This window comes from Homo sapiens, chromosome 16, assembly GCF_000001405.40.
Source record: "Homo sapiens chromosome 16, GRCh38.p14 Primary Assembly".
NCBI lineage: Eukaryota > Metazoa > Chordata > Mammalia > Primates > Hominidae > Homo > Homo sapiens.
In genome coordinates this window covers 88,989,703-89,000,366 of record NC_000016.10, presented here as the reverse complement: position 1 = coordinate 89,000,366, position 10,664 = coordinate 88,989,703, and the positions used below count along the sequence as shown (strand labels likewise).

The window sequence follows — 10,664 nt, the reverse complement described above, 5'->3', positions numbered from 1 at the left end:
TCCCTTCACACGTGCTGGTCCTAAACATCTTCACACACCCAAATCCAGTCTCAATTCGGCTTCCAGAGACATCTGAAGATGTGGCGCCGTTTGATGAGAAACCCAAGCCCCTTGCAGCAGTGCGGTTCCCTCCCCACGCCCACGCCTCACGCTCCTGTCCTCACACGTTCTATGACTCAGACCCCACGAAGCTCATGATGCTGGACACACACGCCTGCAGATTTGCCCTTTAAAAGAGATGACGAGGAGAGGACAGGCGCCTTGTTCACCTGCACGGTCGCACATGGGCTGTCGCCACCCTGCCCGTCAGTGAGTTCCTTATCTTGTGCAGATTACGCAGCTTTAGCATGTTTTTGTCATGCGGCTCTTAGGACGGCAAATGTTCTCAGTTTCATTTACTTCAGAGCGCTTTTATTTCACCTTCACCTTCACTCTGAGGATTTCCTGCTGGATTCAGAGCGGTGGGGGCGGCTCATTGTTTTCACTCCTCTGCCCTCCGCCCCCCGCCCCCCGCCCTCCGCCCTCCTCCCTCTGCCCCGCCCCCCCGCCCTCCGCCCTCCGCCCTCCTCCCTCCTCCCTCCTCCCTCTGCCCCGCCCCCTCCCTCCGCCCTCCTCCCTCCTCCCTCTGCCCCGCCCCCCCCTCCTCCCTCTGCCCCGCCCCCTCCCTCCGCCCTCTGCCCCCCGCCCCCTCCCTCCGCCCTCCTACCTCCTCCCTCCTCCCTCTGTCCCGCCCCCCGCCCTCTGCCCTCCTCCCTCCGCCCTCCTCCCTCCGCCCCCCCCCGCCCTCCGCCCTCCGCCCTCTGGTTTTTGATGAGGAGGCAGCAGCATTTGGCACTTCTGGCCACCCTCTTCTCCGGCTTCTTCCACATTTTCGTCAGTTTTCAGCAGTTTGACTGTGCTGTGCCTACAGATGTGTTTCTATTTATCCTGTTTGAAGTTAGCTGAACTTCTTGGGTCTATAAATTGATGCTTTTCACTACGTCCAGGGAAGTTTGGGCCATTATTTCTCTAAATAATGTATTTGAGCTCCAATCTCTCTCTCCTCCCATTTGGAGACTCCAATTACACGTGGAGTTGGCAATTTCACATTGTTCTGTGACTTGGCTCTGCCTCTCTTTTTTAGTGTTTTTAAAATTTCTGTTCTTTAGATGATTACCACTGCTCTGTCTTCAAGTTCATTGATCTTTTCTTCTATCATTGCAATATGCTGTTAAGCCTATCCAGTCTAATTAGCTTTGTTTTGTTTTGAGACAGGGTCTCACTGCATCTCCCAGGCTAGAGTGCAGTGGATTACAGGTGTGATTCCAGATGTGAGCCACCGCGCCTGACCTCCCAAAGTGCTGGGATTACAGGTGTGAGCCACCACGCCCGACCTCCTAAAGTGCTGGGATTCCAAGTGTGCACCGCCGTGCCCGGCCTCCCAAAGTGCTGGGATTACAGGTGTGAGCCACCTTGCCCAGCCTCCCAAAGTGCTGGGATTTCAGGTGTGAGCCACTGTGCCTGACCTCCCAAAATGCTGGGATTCCAGGTGTGCGCCATCTTGCCCAGCCTCCCAAAGTGCTGGGATTCCAGGTGTGAGCCGCCGTGCCCGGCCTCCCAAAGTGCTGGGATTCCAAGTGTGTGCCGCCACGCCCAGCCTCCCAAAGTGCTGGGATTACAGGTGTGAGCCACCACGCCCGGCCTCCCAAAGTGCTGGGATTACAGGTGTGAGCCACCGTGCCTGGCCCAGTGAATTTTTTATTTCAGGTATTATACTTTTTAGTTCTAGGATTTCTATTTGTTTCATTGTTTTATGTGAAGCCCTGTCTGTTCACCCATTGTGATCACATTTTTTTGTTAAGCAGTTGAGCACACTTCTTTTGGGGTGAGGACTGGGATTTATTTATTTATTTGTTTTCATATAGGATCTTGTTCTGCCACCCACGTTGGAGTCACATGACCACAGCTCACTGTGGCCTCGACCTTTCAGGCTCAGCTGATCCTCCCACCTTGGCCTCCCAAGTAGCTGGGAACATAGGCGCCACCATGCCTGGCAGTTGAGCACATTTTTGTTTGTTTGTTTGTTTGTTTTTGCAGACAGCATCTCACTCTATCACCCAGGCTGGAGTGCAGTGGCACAATCTCGGCTCACTGCAACCTCCACCTCCCAGGTTCAAGCCATTCTCCTGCCTCAGCCTCCCAAGTATCTGGGATTACAGGCACCCATCACCACGCCTGGCTAATTTTTGTATTTTTAGTAGAGATGGGATTTCACCATGTTGGCCAGACTGGTCTCGAACTCCTGCCCTCAAGTGACCCCCCCACCTTGGCCTCCCAAAGTGCCGGGATCACAGGTGTGAGCCACTGCGCCCGGCTAGTTGTGCCCATTTCTAATAGCTGCTTTAAAGTTCTTGTTTGCTAACTTTGGCATCTCAGTGTCTACTACTAGTAACTGTTTTTTCTGTTGACTATGGGCTCTGCATTCCTGTTTTTCCGTGTACCCAGCAGTGTTGTATGTTGAGTACTGGGGATGATGCACTGTAGACACTTTGAATTCTGCTTCTTCCCTTGAAGAGTCTTGCTTTTTCCATCTTTTCCTGCCTTCTCTGGTGTTAACTATATAAAATGCTCAGTCCTCCTCCCGCATCAACTTCTTTTCATAATTTTCTCTTTGTCTTTGGTTCTCTGGAGTTTGAACATTATGTGCCTGGGTGTGGGTTTTCGTTGTTTGCCATACTGTTGCTGTGTTATCCTGTGTGGCATTTCCAAGCTTCTCATATCTGTGGTTTGGTAGCTGCCCCAGGCCCAGCCTCCCACCAGCCCCCGCAGCCCTGGCCGGGCTGGAATTCAATGCCCTGGAGGGTGATGTGTGTGGCAGCCCAGATGAGTCACCTGCAGGCACCAGTGCAGGCGGCTGAGAAGGGCTGCATTGACTCAGTCCCAAAACCCATATTATTGGCCCAATCCAGTGTGACTGGCTTCTCATCCAAGCCAGTTGATTGAGGCTCAAGGCCAGGAGTCCAGAAGATGGGTGAAGGGGTGCAGGAGGCTCACTCACCATGGCTGGACTCATTTAGGGTGGCTGCACCTGCGAAGATCTGGAGCCCTCTCTCGAGGGTCAAAACATGAATGGCTCAAGGCCAGGAGCCCAGAAGATGGGCGAAAGGGTGCAGGAGGCTCACCCACCATGGATGGACTCATTTAGGAGGGCTGCACCTGCCAAGATCTGGAACCCTGTCTCGAGGGTCAAACTCCTACTCCACCCTCAGTCCCCACAGGTGCTGGCTCTGGGAAGCCCAAGGGGATACGCCCCCACCCAAGACTGTGAGGCCTAAGAGGTTTACCTTACGGGTTGGATGGAGCCCCCCACCAATTTATAAGTTGAAGTTCTAACCCCCCAACACCACAGACGATGGCCTTCCTGGGAAATAGGGTCTTTCAAGATGATCCAGGTGAGATCGCTAGGGTGGGCCCTCACCCCACAGAACTAGCTTCCTTCTAGAAAGGGCAGGTGTGGACACTGAGCTGTGCACGCAGGGAGAACGCTGGGTGAAGAGGGAGGCGGAGATCGTGGTGATGCACCCACAAGCCCGGGCGCACCAGAGACTCCCCCATCCCCCAGAACCCGCCGGGCGCACCAGAGACTCCCCCATCCCCCAGAACCTGGAGAGAGGCCTGGAGCAGATGCCCGCCCCCACCCCTCCAGCACCGCAGAAGGAGCCGGCCCTGCAGACAGCTTGGTCTCAGAGCCGTGGGAGAACAGATCCTTGCTGTGGAAGCTCCTGGTCTGTGCTGATTTATCACGGCAGCCCCGAAAGACTCCCACGCCAGCCACCAGAGCAGACTCCAGCTGTCACCAGGGGATGGCACAGGGTCCCAGAGGCCCCCCCGCTCCACGCCAGGGGCTGCCCCTTTCGTTGATGGCTAAAAGGGGTGAGAGGCTGGGTGAGCAGGATGGGGCTGGGGTCCCAGGGACCTCCAAGGCTGCAGTGTCACCCTGTGCCCGAGGGCCACCCCTCGGCCCTCCCGGCACCTGTAGGCCAGCCTTTGTCAGGCTGCGGGGGTGGCCGGTCCCTGCAGGGGACGCGAACCCATTTAGCGGATCGTGAGCAGCCTTTTTTAGTGAGACAGAATAAAATGGAAAGTGTGGGTGCTGAGAGGCACAGGCCCCAGGACGAGGTGCCCGTGTACCCCAGAGAGACTGTGTGTGCCTGGATGCCGGGCACTGGGTCTGGGAAGAGGGAAACAAGCTCCTTTCTCAGACAGCCACTCATTCCGGGGCCCTGGACGTGGGAGCTTTCCACACAGAGCCAGTCTCCAGCTCTCTGTGGATGACCGTGGGGAGCCCTACGATTTAGCCTGATTACATTGAGTCACCGCAGACCCGGGGAGCCCAGGGCTGTCCTGCAGCTGCCCCCACTTCAGCGCCAGTCTCTGGGTCAGGCCACCTGTGCTTCTCACTGACCAGCTGTAAACCCAGACTCCTGTGAGCCCTGAGCCCCGGTCTGGTGTGTGCTAGGCCAGCTCACAGGACTCAGAAACACTTACACATGCTGGTTTATTATAGAGGATGTTACAAAGGACTCGCAGGACGGGGTCCGTAGGGTGGGGTCCGGAAGCTTCCAGAGCGCAGGAGCCCTGTCCCCACTGAGTGGGGGTGGCCGCCCTCACGGCACTGATGTGTTTCCACCCTGGATGCTCCCAAGTCCTGTCTTTTGTCTTTTAGGGATTTCTTTTGAGGCTTCATCACATAAGCATGACCCCTGATGACCTCAGCGTCCCAGCCCTCTTCTTCCCAGGGGCTGGGGCTGAGAGTTCTAGGCTTCTAATCCTAGGGGGGGCTCTCTGATGTGCAGCCCCCATCCAGGAGCCCCCATGGGTACCTCAGTAGAACAAAGGATGCTCCTGGCATCCCGGAAAGGCTAAGGGTTAGGAGCTCCATGCCAGGAACTGGGGCAGAGGCCAAAGGTACGTTTCCTATGACGCTGCAGTTTGTGACTGTGAACGTCCCACAGCAGCCTGGCGGGACAGACAAATGAAGCGAGGAGATGTCTCCTCCAGCAATGCTGTGCGGCAGGAACGTGGGAGCCTGAGACTCACCCCCCACACGAAACAGAACTCAGAGGCAAGGAGGCGAAAAAGACGTCGGGTCCCGGCCACAGGCAGGCGACGCTGTGCTGAGGAAGGGACACGCACAGAGGCCTAAAACGACGGAGAAAGCAGGGATGTGATCGCAGCTCGTGCTGGGGCTGAAGCCACCTCCTGGGGCAGCCGTGGAGGATGCAGGGGCTCAGGGCGTCCCACCTGCTCTGTTTCCTGCTGCCCCAAGGGCGTGTGCACTTCACAGTGCAAAGGTAAAAGAAATGCTACAGTAAATAAAATGGAAGCCACGGCACTTCTCCAAGGGGAAGGGGAAGGGGAAGGGCTGCTGTCCGCCACGTGTGAGCGTGAACAGATCCCACATTCACGCACACAGAAATCACATAGACTCTCGTGCGTCTAAGTGGCATTGCTGTGTCATTTGCAGAACACACAAGAGCACGTGAATATTGTGAGGAGATAAAATGCCTTCCTCACTGTAGATTGTGCTCAGAAAGGCTCGCAAGCCACAGACCTGGGCAGATTTCAATGCAAACACTAGGAGAACTGGCTTCTCCTGATCCCCATTTGAGGGATGGGCAAACAGGCTTGCGAGGATTGGGGACAGCCAGGGATCCCCAGCCAGGCCCCAAACCTGGCTTGCTGTTGGGGGAGCCCTTGCCCCAAGCCGCTTGTGAGAGCCTGACTGTGGCCTTAGGGCCGCCCAGCTCGGGGCCCCAATTGCCGCAGGGAGGTCTCATCTGGGTCCCACGGCTCAGCCACTTGGGGACTGGGGTCATGGATGCCTGGCACTGAGGGGGCACTGGGTTCCAATTCTGGTGCTGCCTTTTCCTGCCTGGGAGACCCTGGCTCTCAGTGGCTTCATCCGTCCCATGGGAGAAGGGAGTGGAGCCCATGCCACCGCCCGGTCCTGGTACCAAAGCAAAACGCCCAGGACAGGAGCTGAGGGAGGTGGGTGGTAGACAGGCCCCCTGGGCTTCGCTGGCCTGGAAGCAGGTCTCCGACCTGTCCAGCAAGGGCTGAACCTGCCTCAGCATCCGTGCTCTCGGACCCCAGGACTCTGGACAGGCCCAGTTCCTCCTGAGCCACCAAGACTCCTGGTCCTGGGGCTCCCTCGGCCATCCCTGGAGCTGAACAGGTGCTGACCACAGAGAAGCCTCGTGCACAGGTGCCTGGGGGGCACGTTATGGGGCAGGGGCAGGGCCGACCGACTCCAGGTAACCTCAGTTTTCTCATCTGCCGGACGGTCCTGTTGCTTCTTCCCCAGCTACAGCCAGATTCCAGCTCCTCCCAGCTGCCAGCCATACCTCCCCTGTCCAGCCCCAACCTCAGACTCCAAAACCACAGCCTCCTCACTGGGCCCCTGGTTCTGGCTCTCACAGAAGGGAAGAAGGAGAAAAAAAGGGAGGGAGGAGAAAGGGAGGGGAAGAAGGGAGGAGGGAGGAGGAGGAAGGAGGAGGGAAGAGAGGAGGGAGGGAGAGAAGAAGGGGGAGGGAAGAGGGAGGAGGGAGGAGGGGAGAGGGAGGGAGAGGAGGGGGGAGGGAGGAGGAAAGAGGAAGGAGGAGGAAGGGAGGGAGGAGGGGAGAGAGAGGAAGAGAAGAAGGGGAAAGGAGGAGGGAAGAGGGAGGGAGGAGGGAGGAGAGAGGAGGGGGGAGGAAGGAGGGAGGGAGGAAGGGAGGAGGCAGGAAGGAGGGAGGAGGAGGGAGGGAAGAGGGAGGGAGGAAGGAGGGAGGGGCATCTGCTTTGTTTCCTCTCCACCCCCTCTGGACATAAGAGCAGTAAGGGCATCCGTTACATGAAGCAGATGGAACCCTCATGTGAACCCCAAAACAAGTTGCAAACATATTGTTTAGTCCCAACCACGTGTTGGGATGGAGGGGAAGGAGTCCTGGGGCCCCTGGGGATGGTGCTCCCGGCAGGGGGAAGCAAGTGCTGAGGCTGTGAGGCAGCCGCAGTGCTGCCAGTGTCTCCACCCAGAGCGGACCCAGCTCCTGCCCAGCTGCAGCCCGGGGCTGGGCTCTGAGCACAGGCTCACAGCAAAGGGTCCCAGCTGGTGGGCCTGGCTCTTGTGGAGGCCCCAGGACACTCCTCCCACTTGGTGGAGCAGGAGCCAGCCCCTCCAGAGGATCTTGGGGCTGGGAGGGGCTGAGGAACGAGAGGGGGACAGGGAAGCTGGGCAGCAGGTGCCGCTCCTAACATCCCTGACCGGCTGCCGGCCTCGTCTGAAATCCAGAGCTCATTTGCGCTCATCAGTTGGCCGACAGATGGGCCCCGGCTTCATATTTTTGGATTCGGTTAGATTCGAGGGCTGATGTGAACCGACTCAGAGACTCAGAGCACAGGTGTGAGAGCAAAACAGCCCTGGGCGGTGGGGGTGGGGGAAGCCGCAGGCAGCCGAGGGAACAGGGCTCTCGCGCTTGGGGCTGGGAGCCCACCCAGGCAGCTGATGGGGGGCTGGGAGCCCACCCAGGCAGCTGATGGGAGACACTCCAGGTGCCCCTGGGGAAGGAGTACCTCGGGGTGGCTGGGGATTTGGGTAGAAGCCTCTTGAAGGGGCGCCTGACGCTGTGACCCCTGCCCCCAGTTCACCGTGGCCGTGATAAGGAGGCGGCCTGGCTGGGCTATGGGAGATAAACTCAGAGGAAGGCCAAGCAGGCCGGGTAACTGCCTCTGTCACAGCAGGAACGCTCCCAGCCCCCTGCCCAGTATCTCTCGGGCCACCTTGGGCAGACTGGGGGAAGTTCCCAGGCACAGAGATGGGCTGCCGGATGTGGAGTTGTCTGCAGACTCAGAGCCCCAGCCCCACCCTGTAGAGGCGATGACCCCGGGGGTGGGATGCGGAGGTGGCCCAGGAAGACGTCCCCACGGTCGCCCAGCCGTCAGCAGCAGAGTCCCAGCCCGCCCCCAGCACTCCCGGCCCGGGGTGCTTTCTGCAGAGAACAACTGACTTTCTCTCACTATACCCCGTTATCCCTGTAGGATGGTGGGGAAACTGAGGCCCAGGCGGTCAGGGAGCCCCACATCACAGACACAGCAGGCCCAGAGAGAAGCCATGCACCTCACCAGGATGCGGAGGCCTCGGCCTCCAGAATCCACGAGGCCGCCACGTTCCAGGGTACCCAGTTGTTTGGGCAGCCTGGGGTATCCCAGTCACCAGGCAGCTCCGGGCCCGCGGGTCGCCAGCTGTGTGTTTGGCTTTTGTCATGGGCTGGAGTCTGGAGTCTTGGAAAAACAAATTCCTACCCTCGGGCTCCAGTCTGTCTGGAAAGAAAAGACTCACATTTACAAACAAGCAGACACATAACACGCCCCCCAGCGCCCACGTGTGATCAGGCATGTGCTGTGTGGGTCACGTTGGGCTCCCTGGGCCCATCACAGGGGCACTGTTCATTCGTTCCTTCTACAAACACGTACAAAGCACCTACTGTGTGCCTGGTACGAGTCTAGGCACTGGGGACACAAAAGAAACACAGCCCCCAGCCTTGTGTTCAGGTAAACAGGGGTATTTGTGGAGGAAAGGGTTCCTAAGGGGACCAGGGCTGCTGCATTTTATTTATTTATTTTTTGAGACAGAGTCTTACTCTGTCGCCCAGGCTGGAGTGCAGTGACACGATCTCAGCTCACTGCAACCTCCGCTTCCCAGGTTCAAGTGATTCGCTTGCCTCAGCCTCCCGAGGAGCTGGGATTACAGTCATGTGCCACCAGGCCCAGCTAATTTTTGTGTCTTTAGTAGCAATAGGGTTTCACCATGTTAGCCAGGCTGGTCTTAAACACCTGACCTCAGATGATCTGTCCGCCTCGGCCTCCCAAAGTGCTGGGATTACAAGCGTGAGCCCTACCTTGCCCAGTCGCTGCTGCATTTTAAAGCAAAAATTGAGATTTTCAGGGCAAATGTAGAAGTGAGCCTCTTCCGGACTCCTCGGAACAGCCAGGCAAGGGGCACCATGAGTCGGCTGCAGCCCTCAGGCGGGTACAGCTGAGGGTCCCCATCATAGTGAGGGGACACAGGGCTCCCAGCCAGCCACCATCCCCATCCCTCGAAGCTAGGCAGGGGAGAGAGGCAGCCCCAGGTGGAGGGAAAGTGGGAAGGATCCACACAGCTCCCCAAGGAGCCTCCTCGGAGAAGAGGTACACGTGGGGTTCCACCTGGGAAGAGGAGGGCTCCTCCGCTCTGCAGGCGTGAATTTGCTCCAGGCCTCCGTTGCAAGAAGCTCTCCTACTTTGGGTCTAACAGAGCTGCCTGAGGCCCTCCCCAGGACAAGCCCCCTCATCACCAGTCTAAGCCTGCTGTCCACACCTGGGGTGGTGCTGTCCTGTCACCCCATCCTGAGCCCCAGAGCACAGGTACTGTCACTGAGGCACACACTCAGGTGCCAAATCCGCTCCCCAACACAGCACACAGCCTCCCGCCGACTAGAGCTGGGCCCAGCAGTGTTCCGGCCCCACTCAGCCTGGAGGAAGCTCTGCTCTTCCTTCCATGGCCACGGCTAACTCTGTTCCCTCTGAGCCCTTGCCTTTATCCCCCCGAAAGGCAGGGACCCCACAGAACTTTCCCAGCTCCCTGGCAGCCAGACACGGCTGTGAGACCCGGCTTAGCCAGTCAGCTGAAAGGGGAGAACTGCATGAGGTTTCTGGAAGAGATTTTCCTCCCTGGCTCTTTCTCTTCCTTCCCTGAACGCAGTGGTCAGAAGCTGTGACTCTTGGAGCTGCAGCACCCATCTGGGAACCATGAGGCAACAGGTCGGACAACAGCAGGCCGGGCAGAGGCCACGACAAGCCGGATGACAGCAGGCCGGGCAGAGGCCACGACAGGCCGGATGACAGCGGGCCTGGCAGAGGCCACGACAAGGCATGAGAGGGAGCGGGCCAGGGTCCCTGATGACGTCACTGACTGACACACCCAGTCCAGAACCTCAGGACGGGCCCCACGCAGGCCTGTGTTTTTCCATTTGAAGCTGGAGAGGGCCCAGCAGCACCCCCGTGGAGCCCCCCACAGTGCCCCGTCTGCCGCTGCTGCACTGGGCCACCCCCCAGGGCCTCACAGCCCAAATCACCCACTACCATGACTGAGGACGGGTGACTGGAGCTGGGGGTGGTGGGTTGTGAGGGAGGGGCTTCCGTATGGAACCACCGGGAAGCCCCAGCTGTGGAGAGGGCACAGGAGGGCAGCTCGCTCAGGGCTGTGAGGGCTGAACCTGATGTAGCCTTCAGCTGATGGGACATGGGGAGCCAGTGCTTGTTCTAGAGGGGAGGCATCCCTTGCGTCCAGGACAGATCCCAGCTCTGCTCCCATCTCCCAGGGTGCCAGGGGTCTCTCAGGGTCTCTGGAAGGAGCCGCCGTGGGCTGGGAGAGAAGAGCCAGGAATTCCGAGTCTTCTGTGTGGCCAGAGGGTCCCCTGCCAAGATGACCCTGTGAGCCGCCGTCTGGTTTACCATGCAGGGCCGCAGGTGAGCACCTGGCTCTTCCCCAACCAGGGATAGGGCCAAGAGTGGGAAGAGGGAAGTTACCAGATGCTGCCAAGGCTGCAGATGCACACACCCATCGGGCTGGCGCCAGGCCCAAGCCCCTCAGATGCCCTCAAGGC

At 58.7% G+C, this 10,664-nt stretch overlaps 1 annotated feature.

Moving 5' to 3' along the window:
* Positions 5,752-9,378: an enhancer, noted in NCBI's record as "VISTA enhancer hs1854". NCBI's record gives its function as "enhancer in: heart[7/8]" and the evidence as "EXISTENCE:transgenic organism evidence [ECO:0001131][PMID:17130149]".